Source organism: Homo sapiens, chromosome 7 (assembly GCF_000001405.40).
Source record: "Homo sapiens chromosome 7, GRCh38.p14 Primary Assembly".
NCBI lineage: Eukaryota > Metazoa > Chordata > Mammalia > Primates > Hominidae > Homo > Homo sapiens.
Window position 1 is genome coordinate 130,290,048 of NC_000007.14, and position 21,225 is coordinate 130,311,272.

The 21,225-nt window shown below is 47.0% G+C and overlaps 1 protein-coding gene across 3 annotated transcripts in view, besides 2 other annotated features; it reads left to right on the top strand.

Moving 5' to 3' along the window:
- CPA4 (carboxypeptidase A4) overlaps positions 3,114-21,225 on the top strand; it is a 31,020-nt gene continuing 12,908 nt past the window's right edge. The window contains exons 1-9 of one of the 3 annotated variants that reach the window (NM_016352.4): positions 3,114-3,201; positions 8,699-8,780; positions 9,223-9,357; positions 10,769-10,867; positions 14,431-14,532; positions 15,769-15,873; positions 16,740-16,850; positions 18,260-18,350; positions 20,740-20,939. In NM_016352.4, the coding sequence (NP_057436.2) occupies positions 3,134-3,201; positions 8,699-8,780; positions 9,223-9,357; positions 10,769-10,867; positions 14,431-14,532; positions 15,769-15,873; positions 16,740-16,850; positions 18,260-18,350; positions 20,740-20,939 (993 nt within the window). In that variant the 5' untranslated portion in view covers positions 3,114-3,133. Of the gene's footprint in view, positions 3,202-3,257; positions 3,469-8,698; positions 8,781-9,222; positions 9,358-10,768; positions 10,868-14,430; positions 14,533-15,768; positions 15,874-16,739; positions 16,851-18,259; positions 18,351-20,739; positions 20,940-21,225 lie in introns of those variants that run through there. The other 2 variants (XM_047420438.1, NM_001163446.2) reach the window with 2 other exon arrangements.
- Positions 3,519-3,608: an enhancer, noted in NCBI's record as "active region_26652". NCBI's record gives its function as "activates an Ori minimal core promoter by ATAC-STARR-seq in GM12878 lymphoblastoid cells {active_cell/tissue: GM12878}" and the evidence as "EXISTENCE:reporter gene assay evidence [ECO:0000049][PMID:35858748]".
- Positions 7,419-7,919: an enhancer, noted in NCBI's record as "H3K4me1 hESC enhancer chr7:129937306-129937806 (GRCh37/hg19 assembly coordinates)". NCBI's record gives its function as "activates a minimal SCP1, AML or CMV promoter by ChIP-STARR-seq in primed H9 embryonic stem cells {active_cell/tissue: H9 hESC(primed)}" and the evidence as "EXISTENCE:reporter gene assay evidence [ECO:0000049][PMID:30033119]".

Below are 21,225 nucleotides of genomic sequence, written 5' to 3' on the forward strand. Positions count from 1 at the left end.
ATATTAAAAAAAAAAATCCATCCGGAGCAGAGTGCTCCCAACATCATTTGACAGTTTTTGTTTTTGTTTTCCTTTTGAGACAGAGTCTCACTCTGTCACCCAGGCTGGAGTGCAATGGCGCGATCTCGGCTCACTGCAACTTCTGCCTCCCAGGTTCAAGCAATTCTCCTGCCTCAGCCTCTCAAGTAGCTGGGATTACAGGCACCTGCCACCATGCCTGGCTAATTTTTGTAGTTTTAGTAGAGACAGGGTTTCACCATTTTGGCCAGGCTGGTCTTGAACTCCTGACCTGAAGTGATCCACTCGCCTCGGCCTCCCAAAGTGCTGGGATTACAGGCGTGAGCCACCGTGCCTGGCCCCATTTGACAGTTTTTTATTGTGTTAAATTATACACAAAACTTACAATTTTGACCATTTTTAAGTGTACAATTCATTGGCATTAAGTACATTCACAACGTTATGCCACCATCACCATCATCCATCTCCAGAACTTTCCTATCATCCCAGACTGAAACTCTTCCCCATTAAACCATAACTCCCCATTCCTCTTGCCCTTCAGCCCCTGGCAACTACTAGCTACTTTCTGTCTCTACGAATTAGCCTATTCTAGGTATTTCGTATAAGCGGAATTAAACAGTATTTGCCCTTTTGTGGCTAGCATTTTTTTTTTTTTTTTTGGTTAATATAATGTTTTCAAGGTTCATCCATGGTGTAGCATGTGTCACTGCTTCATCGTAAGAGTGTAGCATTTTAGGGCTAGCAATGGACTTTCAAGTTCATGTATTCAATAAATACTCATGAAGCAACTGCACTGTGCCAGGCCTCGTGCCAGGTGCTATACCTGGTTCCATTGTTGCCTTTGGTTTTTCCTTTCCTGGTGTGCTGCTTTATGAAGACTTGTGGGGCAGGGCATGGTGACTCAGGCCCGTGATCTCAGCACTTTGGAAGGCTGAGGTGGGAGGATCAGGAGTTTGAGATCAGCCTGAGCAACACAGTGAGACCCCGTCTGTACAAAAACAAAACAAAGCACCCGTCATGGTGGCAAACATCTTTAGTCTCAGCTGCTTGGGAGGCTAAGTTGGGAGGATCACTCGAGCCCAAGAGTTTGAGACTTCAGTGAGCTATGGTCGCACCACTGTACTCCAGCCTGGTCGACAGAGTGAAACTCTGTCTCAAAAAAAACAAACACACAAATGGTGGGGACCCAAGCCAATGACATTCCTTTTTCCTGGTTGCCCTATCAAGCCTCGGTCTCAGGTTGCACACAGTTTCTCTTTAGATATTGACTCCCATTAGGGATTTAGGTTTTCTTCATGTGGATGATTTTCCCTGGGAGAAAAGGTAGGAACTAAATTTCAGCTTGCCTAGAATGCTTGGTCCTTGATTCTCCCACTTCACATCTCTTACAGATTTGGGTCTCAGTTGTTCTTGTTGCTGACTTCAAAGCTGACATCGATCTCAGTGACGCTGAGCCCACGCTTTGTGGTGGACAGGGTGGGTGTAGGAATTCAGTTGAAGTGTTGAGAGGACAAAAGGACCCTGAGGGAGCAAGAGGAGATGATGGCCCCTAGCTCCACAGCTCCTAACAAAGGCTCTCTCTGGGACCACACTTGAGATTCTGCACCCTCCTTTTGATTAGGCTGGTTCTTGAGCCCTGGCTAAGCCAGCCTGAGCAAAGATCCTGCGAAGTCATCCCTCCCACCTTGATATCTGATCAAGTTCCTCATCCCCACCTTTGATGGGGACTTTGATGTATAAGTCCTTGGCCTGCTTTTAGCAAGAATCCCCCTACCTTGATGTCTTCTCTTAGTAATCCCACTGATCCTCTCTGTTTTCTTTGCCGTATTCAGTGTTAAGCACAGTAAGTCTTTCCTACTGAAATAGCCATGGTCCTAATCATAATAATCTTGAATTAGGTCTTACATTTTAACACAGGTCAGGATAGTTTTTCTTTAACTCTCTCAACTATGACCCTTGGTTGTGTCCACTCCCTTTGAGTGGGTGTGGAAAGCATGTAGACCGTAGGGAGGGTGGGATGGGAAAGGCTGTGGGAACTGGGGCTCCCAGGACAGACTCAAAGGTCCCAGAGCCCCTGAAGGCGTTATGGAGATATGAGTGTCTTCCATTTATTCAGCTGTGACTTGGCGGAAAGGACACCAGACCCACAGTCTAGGAAGTATAAGAAAATCTTATTATTTATTTATTTATTTATTTGAGATGGAGTCTCACTCTGTCGCCCAGGCTGGAGTGCAGTGGTGCGATCTCGGCTCACTGCAAGCTCCGCCTCCCAGGTTCACGCCATTCTCCTGAGTAGCTGGGACTACAGGCGTCCGCCACCACGCCCGGCTAATTTTTTGTATTTTTAGTAGAGACGAGGTTTCACTGTGATAGCCAGGATGGTCTCAATCTCCTGACCTCGTGATCCGCCCACCTCGGCCTCCCAAAGTGCTAGGATTACAGGCATGAGCCACCTCGCCCGGCTGAAAATCTTATTATTGATAAAACCATTAAGCCTTCCCCATAGATCAGACCCCAAGGAACACTGATAATTTATTCAGACTAAAACATCCTTTCTATATCATTTGCCTGATACATTTCTATTTCCTTAGTGGAGTCAGAAGAATTAGGCTTCAGATACATAAAAGAGGCCCCAAACCTCTTTCCTCATCCTGACCTGCCCTGGTGAAATTCTCTGGCAGGGCTTGTCAAGCATGTGGTCTTGGAGCCAGCTCAGTCTTGCTTTGATAGTCTTAACTTTTTTATTATTATTCTAGAGGTAATTCTATGCCAGGTTTATAATCTGACCTCTCCTATCAGGATAAATTCCATCCAACACTGTGGAATTAGCTTATTCACTGAAAAAACACTATTTAAATGCCAAGTGATGAGCAATATGGTACCCTTGGCACAGACTTTTTCAGCTCCTGGAGCAAGTTCCTGACCTTGTAAATTGAGATGCTCAACCTTTATCACTTGAAAGGAATGGGAGAGGCATTGGTAGGGCCTGCCTGTCACAGTCAGAGTTGCAAGGGTGCTTGGGAATCACATTAGCATTTTTGAGGACTTGAGTCACTCTCAGACTCTTTATAAATACAGCTTGACTCAGCCACTGTATGACTGACTCCCCGGGGACATGAGGTGGATACTGTTCATTGGGGCCCTTATTGGGTCCAGCATCTGTGGCCAAGAAAAATTTTTTGGGTAAGTTCCTTTTGGACTTATTATTTGGTTATTTCAGAAATATGGGAGCCAAATGGAACTGAAAATGAATGGCTGATAATAGCTCACATGGAGGAAGAAGACCTGGGCTCTTGTTCCAGCTTTGCCCCTGTGTCATCCTGGACAAGTCCACTCTCTTCTCTGAGACCCCATTTCATCTGTGAAATCAGGACTAGATGATCATTGCAGTCTCTCCCCAGCTCCCTCATCTCCTGCCAGTTCTTTTTCTGCCTAGTTCTTACTTATAAGGTCAGTTCCAGGCATCTACTTTCTTACTCCTACCTTATTAATTACTAAGAGTTACTGGTTACTAAGAGCTACGTTATTAATTACTAAGAGTTACTGGTTACCAGAAATGGTTTGTTTCCAATTTCCGCCATGCATAAAGGGAAACCCTGGGTCTCAAGCTTGTTGGTTTCACTTCTTTGTTAATGGCGAAGGCTTTGCAGAGCTGGTGCCTTCTCTTGATCTGCAGTTTAATGCTCTACCCCTGAGCTACACCCTCTTCTGAGCTGGTGCTTTCTTACTGGCTTCTGGGACGTGGAGATTTCACAGGTCTTGCCTAGACACAGCTATGAAAATGACATGCAGAGACACATGCCTGAACACCGTGTGTGTGTGCGCGTGTGTGTGTGCACACACACACGTGCTCAACACGCTCCATGCAGAATACTTTGAGGTTTGCAGGGGAGAGGACATTTGGGTGGTAGGAGAGATAAAAGGGATACCATGGTGCCCTGTTAGAAGACTGAATTATAATAACTCATTACTGCATAATACTTTACCATTTGCAAAGAGCTTTCATGTACATTATCTTTTTGATCACACAACAACTTTGCCAGGCAGGGGTGTTATTTTCTTCCACTTAAACATGAAAAAAATCAGCCTTAGAATGTTAAGGAACGCGCTCAAGGCCACTTAGCTGGGAAGCAGGGGAGCTGGAACTCTGAACGTAAAACTCGTACCCTTTTGCTATAACACAAGTTCATCTCCAAATAAAATCCTATATCTCTTGGATCTGTCTCTTAGTTTTCTTTCTATTTTACTATCTGGCTAATGAGACTTTGGGGTTGTTTTTTGAGGTAATTACTTATATGAGATTGACTAAGTTTTATGATGATGACTTCTGTTCACACCTGTGTCTCTGTTGCCAAATAGCTCAGAGGGGTTAGGAGTGGCAGGTGGCCAGGGAAGATTTTCCCACAGGCGGCTCAGCAGTAGGTGTGTAGTGACTAGACTTGCTGCCGTGTGGGCTGACGCATGGAACTGTCAGGCTCCCACTGCAGCTATTCATGTGGCTGAAAAATCTCTATTTCGCAAGATACAGACCTCTCTTGCAATGTGGTGGGCACCTGGGCTGCGACAGCTGGGCCAGGCCCTAGAATGCTCTCTGCAGGAATTTTGCACAGAAAAAGCTGTGTGCCTGAGCTGACTGCAGATGGTTTGAACTGATAGTGTCATTCTCATCCCCAAATCCATTCTCACGCCATAGTAGGAAACCTAGCAAAGGTAGTGGAATTCTTCCTGGGCTCTCTAGAGGTGTCCCAGACACCCAGCTTTTAGAGCAAGGGGAACATTTAGAGCAAGGGGAAGCTGGCCTCTGAGCATTCAAGTGGTTGGGAAGCCAGGCTCTGGATTGGCTGCTGAAGATGAGGATGATGGTTTCTCCCCACCACCCACCACCCATTCCCCTCCCTTCCATCTGCCTCACCTATCTCCCCAGTCTCTCTTGCTCTACTGGAGTCTTCTGCCCTGGTCTTCAGAGATCTTCAGGATGGGACAATGGCCAGGATGCCTAGAGGCACCAGGCAGGCAGAGAACAGGAACCAGTTGCAGAGCTGGTTACAGCATCAACAGTAGCTGGCAGGCATCTAAGAGTTCTATGAAACCATCTCTTAATATTCTTTGTGGTGGCTGCTAAGCCTGGCTAGGGAGGCAGATGAGAAAGGCACAAAGGACGGGCCACTTGGCTGTCAGCATGGTGAAAGGGGAGGGATAGATGCTCAGTCACCAAAGTGGGTATTGACTGTCCAAAGCACAGACTCCTGTGAGGGTGAGGGAGTGGGAGTGCCAGCCATTGCAATGGCAGCAGCTGGACGCCCTGTCTATTGGAGAGGATCAAGTTAAGAGGAGCTGTGAGAACACCTGTGTGGAGCAGGAGGGGCAGACATGGCCACCTGTGAATCCCAACACGTCCCCCTCCCAGGCCAATTTCCATCTTCAGAAAGAGCTCAAGGTCTTTGAGTGAATTTCTGGATAGTGGAGATAGGATGTGCTCCACCATCTTGAGCCTCATGAACTGACGAGGGCATTTTTCAAATACAGACAAGGACAGTGAGGGCAAGAAAAAGGCTGCCCTTCGCATTGCACCCCGCAATGTCCTCCCTCCTTTCAGGTGTTGCTGTGCTTCTGTTCATAAGGATAATGCTACCGCTGGGTGCAGTGGCTCACACCTGTAATCCCAGCACTTTGGGAGGCTGAGGCAGGTGGATCACCTGAGGTCGGGAGTTCGAGACCAGCCTGACCAACATAGAGAAACCCCGCCTCTACTAAAAATACAAAATTAGCTGGGCGTGGAGGTGCATGCCTGCAATCCCAGCTACTTGGGAGGCTGAGGCAGGAGAATCACTTGAACCCCGGAGGCGGAGATTGCAGTGAGCTGAGATCGTGCTATTGCACTCCAGCCTGGGCAAGGCAACAAGAGCAAAAACTCCATCTGAAAAAAAAGGATAATGCTACCCACTACCACAACCGCCAATGTTCAGCACTATCTGAAGACTGTTAGGACTTTGCTTCCTCTGGTCAGGAAAAGCTTCATGGGTGATGTGAGTTGGTCCTAAAGATTAGATGGGACTAGATGGGCCTGACAGATGAGAAAAAGGATGGATTGCAGGCAGTGGGAACAGCGTGTACAAAAGCATACAAAAGTACGCGGTGAGTTTGGGCTGGGTCCGAGATGGGGCAGAAGGGAGAGGTGAAGAAGAGACAGATGGAACGGGCTTCACTCGGCACCCGCTCTTCTGCCCTGCCGCTTTGCATGCTACAGATATTTTGTTGACCTCTGTAGCTTGGCTGATTAGAGCAGGATGAAATGGGTTTGTGGATTTAATCATCCTCAGGGCCAGTCAGAGACACGGTGTCCCATTGTCCTGGGACTGCGCCCAGGAATGTCTACAAGTTCTGTTGTGAAGTCACCACTTTGGAAAAACTAAAACGCATGTGTTGGGTGAATGCGTAACATGATTTTCATACTCAAAGAGCTTCTTATTCTTATGTCCTCCTTTTTTCTCCTCCTGTCCCTTCTTTCTCCTTTTCCTCTTTGTGATTGCTGTAGCCAGTGCTGCATTTTACACACGCTTAACTGTGCTAATAAATATGTCACCACACAAGATCTTTCTAGCAGCTCCCCTCACTTTTTTTTTTTTTTTTTTTTTTTTTGAGACAGGGTCTTGTTCTGTCAACCAGACTGGAGTGCGGTGATGCAATCATAGCTCACTGCAGCTTTTGAACTCCTGGGCTCAAGCAATCCTCCTGCCTTAGCCTCCCAAGTATAGAATCCCCACTTTAAAGATACCCCCTCTTTGGAGTGTTGGAGGTAGGTTATGATAGAGCGTGAGTTCAGCGGACGGGCCCTTGTCCCCATCCAGGAGTAAAGATTTCCTTTCTGTTTTTTAAATTTATTTATTTTTAATTTTAGTTTTTTGAGATGGGAGTCTTGCTCTATTGCCCAGGTTAGAGTGCAGAGGTGTGATCATAGCTCACTGCAGCGTTGAACTCCTGGGCTCCAGCGATCCTCCTGCCTCAGCCTCCTGAGTAGCTGGCCTACAGGTGTGAACCACCACGCCCAGCTAATTGTTTTTCATTTTTTTGTAGAGGCAAAGTCTCACTATTTTGTCCAGGATGATCTTGACCTCCTGGCCTCAAGCAATCCTCTCACCTTGGTTTCCTGAAGCACTGGGATCACAAGTGTGAGCCACGGTGCCTGGCTCCATTCTGTCTTACATCGGTCCCTTTTTTTCAATGGTGCTTGCCGAGGTCAGGGAACGATCAGGTTTGATGCCTCATCTTCCCAGGGCGGTAGGTCCAACTCTTGGCAAGCCTGTTGGGTTCAGACTGAGACCTGCCCACCCAGTGGTATCTCTTCAGGGCCCTCGGCAGTGCCCACAGGGTGCAGTTACCCGCTGACCTCCAGGACCCTTTGGGGACCAGGTGGGTTGGGAGAAAGGGAACCTTCAGCACTGTCATCTCCTCCAGACCAGCCACCTGCAGCAGGAGTGGCTCTGCAGTGGACCTTGACTCCTTAAGTCTGGCCTAGACCCACTGGAGAGCCCCTAGAACCTTCCAGAACCCAGCAAAACCCTGAAGAGCCATCTGGATGAAACCGGTTTTCTGATGAGGAGCTGCCCCATGAGGCTGCACACTCAGCTCCCTGTGACAGCCATTCACTCTCAACAGGTCCTTGAGCCCACAGCGGCTCTCTTTGCATTCACTTGTGTCAAAGAGATGACACAGTGACAACATCGAGTGAGGATTCTTTGGAGCTGTCACCTAGCAACAGCCTAATGGCTCCCATCTCCCCCAGCCAGCTGAGAGCATAAAGGCAGCATTTCAGGCCCTGCTTTCTCCCACCCACACACAGGACTTCGGGGGCCACTACCCCTGCCGCCGCTGCAGAAGCTAAATCACGTATATGAAGCAAGCTCAGGACAAACGACAAAGGGGACTGAGACTGGCCGGCCCCGTCTGTGTCCTTTAAGGGTCCCCTCTCACCCCGTAGGGAGGAGTGGATCCTACATCCAGCCTCAGCACCATGGGCCATAGTCAGTTTCCACCCAAACGAGCCTCTGTGTGGGGTTCTGGAGCTGGAAGGGACTGAGCGAGCACCCAGCCTCGCCTGTTTTAAGACGGCACAGCTCACCCTCCCAGCATGGAGATGCTGTTTTCTTTCCAGCATGGAGGTTCCGTCAGGGTTTCAGTCCTCAGCCCTGACAGTGAAGAAGTGCTTCTTTATGTCTTGAGTTAGCTTTGCGTGTAACTCAGGCACATTCCTTCCTGTAAAATATATGTGTTTTTCATTATAAAGTAATATGATCACATTACAGAAAACAGATACAAGGGGGAAAAAAGTAAGTCATCCATAATCCCACGACCCGAACATAAGGGCTGTCAGCATTTGGTATATTTCCGCTGTCTGTTTTTCTTCCAATGCATCTGCTTTTTCCATACTTATAATCATGGCATACATACAATTTTGTGTCCTGCTCTTTCACTTAATATTTCCCTTAAAGTTATGCCATAAGCACTTTTTCATAGTTGCCATGTAGCCTCATTTTTAATGGCCATACATTAAAACCAAAGACTAGACCATTTCCTTTCTTTTGGCCTGGTTACGTCTGGGATAGGAGGCTTGGGGGTTTCTTTGCCAGCTGAAAGCTCATCATTATCTTTTGCTCTTTTTTCCTTTTCGCTTCTTCCCCAGGGACCAAGTTTTGAGGATTAATGTCAGAAATGGAGACGAGATCAGCAAATTGAGTCAACTAGTGAATTCAAACAACTTGAAGGTACCTGGTTCTTTTTAGCTCTCCTGAGTGTTTTCTAACTTTGCTGGGAGAAGACTCTTGCTCTACTGGCATTATTATTTTTATTTCTGAGGAGTCTCTGAATATAATCCTGTGGGAGTCCACTTGCCATTTATACAATTGAGGGGGCTGATGGGAGAGAGGGAGCACATCACAGCTGTGGTGTCCTGGGAGAGGGGATGCTTGAACAGTATAGGCTCCATCCTTCTAGCTGCCATCCACTTATGACTCTTGGTCTCTGCCAGATACTGCTTGTTGGGCAGGTCCAACCAGACACAATTGTGAAATGGGCAAACTTTGCCCTTGGGCAGAGCCTAGCCTCTCAGGGATCACCCTGGCTTTTGGCAGTGTTCTAGAAGAATAACCTCATTGTGCATTTTACCTGAACGGTCCTTTAACCTGGTTTCATTTCTGTTCCCTTCAGCTCAATTTCTGGAAATCTCCCTCCTCCTTCAATCGGCCTGTGGATGTCCTGGTCCCATCTGTCAGTCTGCAGGCATTTAAATCCTTCCTGAGATCCCAGGGCTTAGAGTACGCAGTGACAATTGAGGACCTGCAGGTAGGTAGACTATGCCTCCTGCCTCCTGCTCTTGCATAGGACCAGGCAGCCAGTCCAGAGTAGACCGGAGTGATTTGCAAGTTCTGGTTTTATCCTTTTCTATTTTATAGACCAGGAAATGGAGGCAAATGGAAGTAAAGTGCAGTGACTTGTTAGAGGAACAACATTTTGTAGTAGAAAGGGCATAAATAGGCCAGGGAACCACACAGATTTGGATCCAAATCCTGATTTTGCTAACTACTAGTGCTATGTGCTGTGTCTTTGGACAAGTTATTAACCCGCTGAGCCTCCGTTTCTTCATCAGTAAAATGGTGATAGTGAGACCTTCGTCATGTGATTTGTTGAGAAGACTCAGGATTAAATGTATGTAAAATGTCTAACAGTGCCTGGCATATCCTACGTCTGCCATTAAGTCATAAGTCCCTCTTTCTTTCCTTCTTTGAAGTCCTTCCAGGTGGCAAGAGCAGAGATGAGGGAGGGTGTTGGGGACCAGCCACAGAGGCACCCTTTGAGACAGGGGGAATGTCATGGATAGCCCCAGCAGAGGGAATGCCGTCCTCTGGCCTCACGACCTGTATCTGAACATCAGGACAGGGTCTGGCTCATGCTCTCTCCTTCACCGAGGTGGGTTATGGACTAATTGGTGATCTGGCCTGGGAGTTTCCTGATGGCGTTAGCAGCTATGAGCTTATTAATCATCCTCACATGTCACAGACATCTGCCAGGAACCTTCAAAGCACGAGTGGTTATAAGAATTTCTTTGTTTCTGAATGGTTTCCCAAGCTGTGTATTTCAGAGGCACTGGATACCAGATGCGGGCTGATGTCTACAGAGTTCATACTATAGGATAGCCAAAGAGCGCATATGTTGCTTCCAGGGAGTAAGTGGGTTTTGAATGAGGCCATGTAAATTGGGCCCCAAGAAGTAAATTTTTTTTTTTTTTTTTTTTTGAGATGGAGTCTCTCTCTTTCGCCAGGCTAGAGTATAATGGTGCAATCTCGGCTCACTGCAACCTCTGACTCCCTGGTTCAAGCGATTCTCCTGCCTCAGCCTCCCAAGTAGCTGGGACTACAGGCACGCACCACCACGCCCAGCAAATTTTTGTATTTTTAGTAGAGACAGGGTCTCACCATGTTGGCCAGGATGGTCTCGATCTCCTGACCTCGTGATCCGCCCGCCTCAGCCTCCCAAAGTGCTGGGATTACAGACATGAGCCACCCTGCCCAGCCAAGAAATAAAATTTTATAAAGATATGAAAGAAATCTAACCCCCTTTTAAACCTTGACATTTGTGCTGCTTGATATGCTGAAAGGGCCGCCATCTTGGCTGACCCATATGCAAAGATATGGCAGAAAAAACATAAACCTGCGTCTGCAATGGATCACTTCACAACATTGCTGTGTGTTTTCAGGCCCTTTTAGACAATGAAGATGATGAAATGCAACACAATGAAGGGCAAGAACGGAGCAGTAATAACTTCAACTACGGGGCTTACCATTCCCTGGAAGCTGTAAGTGTTTCAGAGTGGGTTAAGATCAAGGTTCTCTGCCTCCTGAATTTTGTAACCTCTCTCCTTACTTCCAGGAGACATTAGTCTTCAGCACAATATCCCCTCACTGAGGGGCTAAAATGTGTACACTTCAATTCCTTTCTAATTCTTGGATTGCTGAACTCCTACCAGCACCTCAGAGTGTCATGAAATACAGCCTGGCTATTTCCTCCCTCAACCATCCTTCTCTCCTTAAGCAACTCTTTCAGAATACCATGAAAATAATTGCAATCATTTCTAGTCCTTGTAATTCAACCTTCTTCTACCCTACCATAATCCCTCTATTTTACTCACCCAGAATAAAATGTTACTTATTCCAGGCAAGTAGACAAATGATGATTTCGAAGGTTAACCAAATATTTCCACTCATTTATCATGACTACTTATAATGTATATATTTGTTCCATCATGCATTTTGGTGCTGTGTTTAGCTAGAAACCACTTGATATAGATGGCTGACTTTCAAGGTAAGCCAAACCTTCAAATGAAAAACTTGAAGCAGAATAATTTCCTAGGATACTGGGACTTAAGAAATCAAGAGAGGCTGTAGAATAGAACTGTACCATGAATGCGGTACAGTTCTCTTACACCCCTCAGTGTCTCCTTCATTCATCTGCAGACAACTAGCTCAGGATCACTCCCCCACATCTAAATTAGTATTCCCCCTGGTGTACCTTAATACATGTTGTTCTTGATATACAGACATGGTGTTGTTGGCATGCATTTCACAAGGCGTATACTTTGAGTCGTTTCTCTTCTTGAGGGAGGATTTCAAAGGTTGACTATTTCCACTTCTTTCCCATGCTTGTCGGTAGCTTTGTTTATTGTATATACTTCCAACGGCACTGCCCCTTGATCCCTCTTGTGACCAGTGACATACATCTGCAAAACAGCTGGATAAAGTTAGAAGTTCAGTCTTGGGCCATGGACGAAAGCAGAGCTCAGAGCCCACACAGGGATCAAGCCCATGAAATCAGCCTCATGAACATGGGGCCCTCGCCAGCTGAGCTAACCAGTTGCAAATGTCACCCAAGACCCTGGAGGGGCCATCCCCTCACCTGCCGACTGCTGGAGCCTCACTGTCTCACTGGCTTACCACTGATTTCTCTGGTTTGAGGCGCCCTTTGCAGCCTGGCTTACAGCAATCTTGTCCTCACTGTGACACCCTCCACTGTGGATTGGTGTGCCACCACCCTCCTAGCTCAGTCATATACAGTTCTTTCTAAAAACAGCTAAAGAACTCGTATTCTAGGCTGGGCATGGTGGCTCACACCTGTAATCCCAGAACTTTGGGAGGCCGAGGTGGGCAGATCACTTGAGGTCAGTAGTTCAGGACCAGCCTGGCTAACATGGTGAAACCCCGTCTCAACTAAAAAAATACAAAAATTAGCTGGGCGTGGTGGCAGGCACCTGTAGTCCCAGCTACTTGGGAAGCTGAGGCAGGAGAATCACTTGAAACCGGGAGGCGGAGGTTGCAGTGAGCCAAGATTGCACCACTGCACTCCAGCCTGGGTGACTGAGCGAGACTCTGTCTCAAAAAAAAAAAAAAAAAAGAGCGCTCATATTGGCTCACGCAACCACTTAGGCTTTCTTAGGTCTCTAGTGGGAATTTCATGTTTGTCTCTGCCAGAGTTTCTGGTTCCAAAGCCATTGTCTGTGTTGTGGTAGTGGTGGGCAGTGTGAATTTGCACTCCACACCTGGACACAGCTTGGTGTTTTAACTTTTCCTGGATGACTCTCTTTTCTCTCAAAGCTCAAGGCAGCTATCCTGCTTTTCCTCCACTCCCTAGGGTCAGTGGGTAGAGTGGGTAGAATTTCCAGGCCCTTTTTGTGGCCCAAATTGCCCATTCCTAGCTCTCAAGTTCCAGCTCCTTGTGCCATGCTGGGTCCTATGGCTCTCCTCCTAGTCCAGGTTTGCCTAAGCCTGTAGCACCCAAGGCAGAGATGGGGCTCTGTGGCATCATCTCCCACCCTCCACCCTCCTAGTTAGTTCCTTCTTTGTTTCTGGCACCTACAATTTCCTCTTGTTTAGCTTTTAAACTTGGCTGTGAATCATTTTCCTTGTATTTTACCTGGTTTGCCTATGTATTTGGAGGTGGTTTCTTGCTTCTGTTCGGTCTACCGTATTGACGGCAAGTCTGATAAACCCTTTAAGCTTGACTTTGTTCTATATTAATTACACATTTTCCTCCTCTGTATAGTTCCTTCTTCCAGTCTTAAGGCTGAAACAAATACATTTGTTTATTTTCTTTTGGCCCTCAAGTGGTTTGAAAACTAAGATGGATAAATTCTATTTAAATCGAACTTTTTTCCTGAAAGCAAATAAGGGTATTTTTAGCCGTTTATTTACCTTTCTTCACTTGCACTCACAAAGCCTTTAGAGAAATTATCTCCAAAGGGGGGCACATGTATCCACAGGATGTAAGCAAGATAGTCCACTGGGATGAAGGAAGAAACAATTACAACTTCTATTTATATTTCTACATATATTTCTGTTTATTATTAATACAACCATTTCAATTGTTTAATAATGTACACAATATATTTGTATCATTGTGTGTGTGTCTGTGTGTGTGTACATGTATATGGTGCATGCTAATTTTTTATTATTTTTGAGTAGAGAAAGTCATCACAGAATTTTGGAGAGTACTGTTTTAAGAGCCTTGGAGCTCTTTCTTTTTATTTTTTATTTTTCAGACAGGGTCTCACTTGTTGCCCAGGCTGGAGTGCAGTGGTGCATTCGTGGCTCACTGTAGCCTAAACCTCCCAGGCTTGAACAATTCTCCCACCTCAGCTTCCTGAGTAGCTGGGACCACAGATACACGCCACCGCAGCTGCCTATTTTTTTTTTTTTTGTTTCATTATTTGTAGAGCTGGGGAGTCTCCTTACGTTGCCCAGGCTGGTCTCGAACTCCTGGGCTCAAGTGATTCTCCCACCTTGGCCTCCCAAAGTGTTGGGATTATAGGCATGAGCCACTGCACCTGGCTTGTTTTTATTTTATTTTATTATTACTATTCTTAAATTTTAAAATTTCTTTCTTTCCTTCCCTCTTCCATATTTTTTATGAACTATTTTTATTTTTAAATGTTTCTTGTAGAGATGGGGTCTCACTATGTTGCCCAGGCTGTCTCAAACTCCTGGCCTCAAGCAATCCTCCCGCCTCAGTCTCCCAGATTGCTGGGATCACAGGCATGAGTCACTGTGCCTGGCCGCTTGTCTTTGACTGTCCAGTCTAGTACAGTGACAAAGGACACAGTGTTAGAGCAATATTGCAAAAGCCTCTCTACTCTAGTTTAGTGGACTACAATTTTGTGAACAAACAAGTGTGCTACTCTCCAGAAAATTGTAGAAAAGGACTATTCAGGCAGGTCTCATAATCAGCGTTTCCATGCCGATAATATGGTCAATTCCAAGATTAGGGTCCCGGAAGAGATAGTTAAGATCAACAAGGTAAATCACAGATATCCAGCCATAGATAAGCAGATTTTTAAAATGTCCCTGGATTCACTCTTTCATGCTTCAGATTTACCACGAGATGGACAACATTGCCGCAGACTTTCCTGACCTGGCGAGGAGGGTGAAGATTGGACATTCGTTTGAAAACCGGCCGATGTATGTACTGAAGGTGAGGCCACATGCACTTGGAAGGGTCTCCTGGGTCCTCATGCCCAGGACCCAGCCTCAGACCTCTGAAAAGGGTAGCTTTTTGAACTCCTTGACTTCAGGGAGGAAAGCGAGGTCAGGACACATTGTACCTGGGCTGGAACTTGGTCTGACAGAGCCCCTTGCTTTTGTCTAATGTAGGGGGAGTTAGAAGGAGCACATCCCATTCCAAGTTTTGGCTGAAAGACAGGATCAAAGGGAGGTGATTAGTATTCCAGAAAGCTCTCAGATGGGACAGTCTTTTACTTTCATTCTCACCTCTGTAAATAGCAGGACAGGTTGGGGTGGGCCTGACTTCTATTCTGCTTTCAGGGGGTACTTACTGGAAAATCAACTTAGGAAGTGAATTTGAGGGTTGGTGTAATTTTAAGCCCAGCCTCTGATCCTTGGTTGCACAAAGCCTAATTTCCAAATATTTCTAACAGATTCAAGACTGTATTGGCAAAGAGGTAGAGAGCTATGATAATGACATAAATTACATAAAAATCCAGTTGAATGAATAAGAAGGAATTTGGGCGTATAACCCATGGAACACCAATGGTGCTAAGAATTTGCCAAACCCTCAGCTTCGTATAAGTCCCAAAGAACTCAGGCTTATAGCACTAAGCAAATTACCAGTGGGAGAGGAGACCTGCCACGGAGCTGGATAATTACATTTAAATATTTTTGCCAATCTGTTGGAGACCCTGGCTTCATTAGCACCAAGCTCTGACCCAAGGGGGCCCAACACTATGGCAAAGGCAGGAGCCAGGATTCATGGCTGCCATTTACAAAGAGCTATAGCGAGCCCCCCTTCTTCTTAGTTTAAAACCAAATTCATTTATCATGTCGACCGAAACAGCCTGGTTTGTGTACCCTTATGTCTCTCGCTGTTGGGATACCATTTGAGGTCTTTCAAGAGACATAACATTATCTCTAATGGCACCGGCATCATAAAACACAGTAACGGTTGTTTCCCCTCCCATTTGCTCCTAATGCTGGAGAGGTTCAGGCTGCCTGGAGCTGCAGCTTGGCCCCGCAGCCAACCAATTAAGCTTCCAAGTCACGGATAAGCTCGATAAATAGATGGTGCCCTTAGGAACATTTGATCTCTGAATTATCTTAAATGAATTAAATGAATGGGAGAGAGCTGGAGAGAGGAGAAGTGAGCAGAGATGCGGGCAGGCGGTCATTTTCGAGCCTTTTCTCCCTTCTGCAGTTCAGCACTGGGAAAGGCGTGAGGCGGCCGGCCGTTTGGCTGAATGCAGGCATCCATTCCCGAGAGTGGATCTCCCAGGCCACTGCAATCTGGACGGCAAGGAAGGTCATGCTGCGTGGTATTAGCCAGGAATGCTGATGGTGCCGGGGTGCCCCTGCAGCATGCCATGTGGCTGGGCCTGGGGCACGAGGTGGGAGGGTTCTCTACTAAGACCCAGTCGGCTGGGGGGCCTTTTCAGATTGGAGAAGCAAATGGTCAAAACCCCTTGGTCAGCTCACTGCGGCCAAATTGATTGCGTTCCTGGTGGTGCACAAGCTGATATGCAGCAGAGGTGGGCCTGAGCCTCTGAGAGCAGTCCACTCCGCAGAAAGGGAGCAGAGCAACACCCAGACAAGGCCCCATAGACCCTCGGGGACCTCACGCCATCTCCATCTCCTAGAAAGGCTGCTGGGAGGGCAGCAGGAGGCTGAGGCAGGAGAATCCCTTGAACCCAGGAGGCGGAGGTTGCGTTGAGCCAAGATCACGCCACTGCACTCCAGCCTGGGCAACAGAGCAAGACTCTGTCTTAAAAAAAGAAAGAAAGAAAGTCTGCTGGGAGGGGAGGAGGGGTGCATGTGGAGGACACATCTTCCTTCCCTCTTCATTGGAGGTTCAAATTCCTAAAAACTATTACAATGTGTGGCTCCCTCCTCCTGGAAGGAAGGAATAAAGCACGTACCCCAGGACTCACTGCAGTTGATGCCATTAGCAGCCATGTCCCCAAGCAGCCGTGTCTCTCCAGGCTTTGAAGGGCTCAGAGGGCTTTGCAGAGAGCAGAGCCTCTGAGGGTGGCAGGGAGGCTTTTGAGGGTGGATGCTGTTCTAGGAGCATTCATTCTAGCTGGTTGCTGGGCATCTTGAGAAGATACATGGTTCAGCCCTAATGGCCCATCCTGCCATGGGATAGCTGACAAGCATATTGTCTCTGCTTAGATTGTATCTGATTACCAGAGGGATCCAGCTATCACCTCCATCTTGGAGAAAATGGATATTTTCTTGTTGCCTGTGGCCAATCCTGATGGATATGTGTATACTCAAACTCAAGTGAGTATTCCCAAATGGGCTGGGCTTGCAGACTGTTGAATTCCTTGCTTTGCCACTAATTGTCTGATCTTGGAGAGAATTTCCACAAATGTGCACCTTATGAGCTTCCTTGGGATTTCATCTTCTAGTCATCCTCAGAGCTGAGAATCACCAGGGGATATTTCTTCTTAGAGAAAATAGTCTAATGAACTCCCTATCATGAGTCTTAACAATGACCAACATTTTACAAATCTTTTCATCTCTTGCCCTCCCACACATTTTTTCGTGACGTATTTAAAACATATTCAACACATTATGTTATTTCACCCTAAACTACTTTAGTACGCATCTCTAACTGACGATAGAAAAAAAAAAATTAAAAAACCCTATGGCACTACTATCACTTTTAAAGGAATAATGGAAGTTCTTTAATATCATCTAACACCCCCGATTACCTTAAAAATGGAGGCCGAGGCCAGGCGCGGTGGCTCACACCTGTAATCCCAGCACTTTGGGAGGCCGAGGTGGGCGGATCATGAGGTCAGGAGATCGAGACCATCCTGGCTAACATGGTGAAACCACATCTCTATTAAAAATACAAACAAATTGGCTGGGTGTGGTGGTGGGTGCCTGTAGTCCCAGCTACTTGGGAAGCTGAGGCAGGAGAATGACGTGAACCCGGGAGGCGGAGCTTGCAGTGAGCCGAGATGGCGCCACTGCTCCAGCCTGGGCGACAGGGCAAGACTCCATCTCAGAAAAAAAAAAAAAAAAAAGTGTTTTTAAGAGTCAATTTGTTCAAGTGAGGACCCAGCAAGGTCTGCGCATGCACCTGGTGCTGTGTCTCTGCAGCCTCTTTTATTCTACAGCAGCTCCCACACACACCTTTTAAAAGTCTCACTCATTTAGGGGAGAAGCCAAGTAATTTGTCTTGTACAGTGTCTCACATTCTGAATTTGGCTGATGGCTTCTTTGTTATGCCATTTAGTTTGTTCCTTTATCCCCTGTATTTCCTGTTCATAGATTGCCAGGTCTAGAGCTTGATTGGATTCAGGGGAATTTTTTAGGCAAGCAAGAAACAGGGGCTGTGCGCTTCCAGCTACATCTATTATCACCGAGGCATATAGTGTCCATTTGCCCACTTCTGCCAAAGCCAAAAATTATTCAGTGGATTCAGGCAGTATCTGACTGGTTCTAGCATATAAAGGTCTCATCAGTACATTTGGAAGAAGTCCTTCTCTTAGAGCCGGAAGGGGAAATACTCCTCTCTCTGCAGGAGGAGAGACAACTGCTCAATGAGGACTAGGAGCCCCAGGGCCCTCCTGGCAGAACTGCAAGCAGCCTGCCCTGCCTGCGTGTCATCTCCACCCTAGCCCTCTTCGGTGATCTGATCTGCCTCTGGTTGTTTGTCCCCTCCTTGGTGGCTTTTTCAGAACCGATTATGGAGGAAGACGCGGTCCCGAAATCCTGGAAGCTCCTGCATTGGTGCTGACCCAAATAGAAACTGGAACGCTAGTTTTGCAGGTAGGCGGTGGGGAGACAGTTCTCAAATCCTGCTGTCCCTGGGCTCGCCTGGTCTACCAGTGCTCTGAGCTGGCCGGGACGGAGCGCGTTTCCACTTTGGTTCCGTTGCTGCGTCACTGAGAGACTGAGGAGCACTCCTTAGGCTCTGACTTAGTGTTTTGTTTGTTGTTGCTGTTTTGAGATGGAATCTCACTCTGTCACCCAGGCTGGAGTGCAGTGGCGTGATCTTGGCTCACCGCGACCTCTGCCTCCTGGGTTCAAGTGATTCTCCTGCCTTAGCCTCCTGAGTAGCTGGGACTGCAGGTGCACGCCACCACGCCCGGCTATTTTTTTTCAGTAGAGATGGGGTTTCACCATGTTGGCCAGGATGGTTTTGATCTCCTGACCTCATGATCCACCTGCTTCAGCCTTCCAAAGTGCTGGGAGTATAGCCGTAAGCCACCTAGCCCAGCCTTTTTTTTTTTTTTTGAGACAGAGTCTTGCTCCATCGCCCAGGCTGGAGTGCAGTGGCAGGATCTTGGCTCACTCTCACTGCAACCTCCGCCTCCCGGGTTCAAGTGATTCTCCTGCCTCAGCCTCCTGGGATGACAGGTGCATGCCACCATGCCCAGCTAATTTTTGTATTTTTAGTAGAGACAGGGTTTTGCCATGTTGGCCAGGCTGGTCTTGAACTCCTGAACTCAGGTCATCTGCCCGCCTCAGCCTCCCAAAGTGCTGGGATTACAGGCATGAGCCATCGCATCCGGACTGTTTGTTGTTTTTTAAAATATATTTTTGTGATTTTGAAAGGGAATGATAGTGATGTCTGTCTTCCCGAGAGAATGGTGGGACAGAGCATCTTACATTGAGATTGCCATCTATGCTAATATTTTAAAAACACTCTCTTCTAAGACATACAAAACGGGGAACCTTCACCCCTGACCCTACCAGCCCTGCCTGGGCAAGTTGTGAGCAGGCGGAAGGACTCCTGGCAGCAACTCAGAAGAGAGGAATTAGCACTGTCACCCCAAAGGGCAAGACTGTGCTGTGAAAATTCCACTCCAGTACCCTTAGATGTGTAGATATGAACCTTAGCAGCTGGCTGTCATGGAAAGGGAAAGAGAATTAGGAGACCTGGGCTCTGAGTGCCAGCGATTTAAAAACCACCCTCCACAGAAGTGCCGACTGTGTACTAAGTACCTTCCGGTATTTATCATATTTATTCTTCTCACCTAGCGAGTGAATTTTATGATCTGAAATGAGACGGTGGAAGCTCAGAGACAATCTCAAGATGACATGGGTGAACAGAGTTCTGATCTAAACTCAGCTTCCAATTTCAAATCCAGACAGTTCTCTTTCACTGTCCCATGGCTGTACTGATGGGTTGTTTGTTTGTTTTGTTTTGTTGAGACACGGTCGTGCTCTGTCATCCAGGCTGGAGTGCAGTGGCGTGATCATGGCTCACTGCAGCCTCGACATCCTGGATTTAAGCAATCCTCCCACCTCAGCCTCCCTGGTAGCTGGGACTATAGGCGCATGCCACAATGCCGAGCTAAGTTTTGTATTTTTTTGTGAAGATGGGGTTTTGCCATGTTGCCCAGACTGGTCTTGAACTTCTGGGCTTAAGTGATCCTTCCACCTCAGCCTCTCAAAGTGCTGGGATTATAGACATGAGGCACTGTGCCCGGCCCCGATGGTTTGTTTTTAATGTGCTTCTTTTACTTGTATAGAAATACCACACAAACCATTGGGGGAAAATAATGACTGTGGGAAAGGAACTGATACAAATGTGGGAACTCAGAGCTTCAAAGTTAAGTCAGATATTCCCACCACTGGGGTGGTTTCAGTCACATTCATACACACACACACGCACACACACACGTATGCACGTGTGCACACACACACCCTAGAAACCCGAGGGAACTATATTATGAAGTAATACAGAAGGCAGTGTTTCTAAATACCTGTCAAATAATCAAGAGATTTTAGCCACAACAATTGATTATTTCTGGCACACTTGGCCTTTAAGATCTCAACCAGAGAATAAGTTGACACCAGAATAAATGGAGTCATTTTCATTATTTATTGGTATTCATATTAATTATCTAGTCTACTTATTAATTACAACTCATTCTCAAGGGTGATATTAATTATTTATGACAACTGCTATTGGTACAAGGCAAGGTCAACTCCAACAGTTTTTCTCCTCAGCTGTAGCAGACCCAACACCCAACCCTCCCTCTTCCATGCCTTCTCTGCAGTCCACACCCACCATGGACTAGGTGCTCTGGGCCGTCTCGCCATGGCCTGCCCATTCCCAATACCTTCGGCCCCTCTCTAGGTGGAGCGTCTTGCATTTCTGTGTTCTTGGACTATGAGTTAATGTTTGTTCTTGGGCTATCCCCAACAGGAAAGGGAGCCAGCGACAACCCTTGCTCCGAAGTGTACCATGGACCCCACGCCAATTCGGAAGTGGAGGTGAAATCAGTGGTAGATTTCATCCAAAAACATGGGAATTTCAAGGGCTTCATCGACCTGCACAGCTACTCGCAGCTGCTGATGTATCCATATGGGTACTCAGTCAAAAAGGCCCCAGATGCCGAGGAACTCGTGAGTCACAGCTGCCTCCCACCCAGCCTGGGGCCCGCCTGACCCTCCTGGCGCTGCTAAGGTGGTAGCTCTGCAGCTTTATAGGGAGGGTCCAGGAGCCTAGGCATGTTTCATTGAAGGTCCAATCTTCTCTCCCTGCCCTTTGGGATATGCTGTCATCTGCTGGGGACAGGAAAACAGTGCCCTTTATTTCTGTGTCTGCTATGAGTTCCCAGAACCGTGCCTGCCCCGCCTTTCCGTCTCCCTTGTTTTTCTGACTGCCATGTATTGTGGACCCACTGCTTGC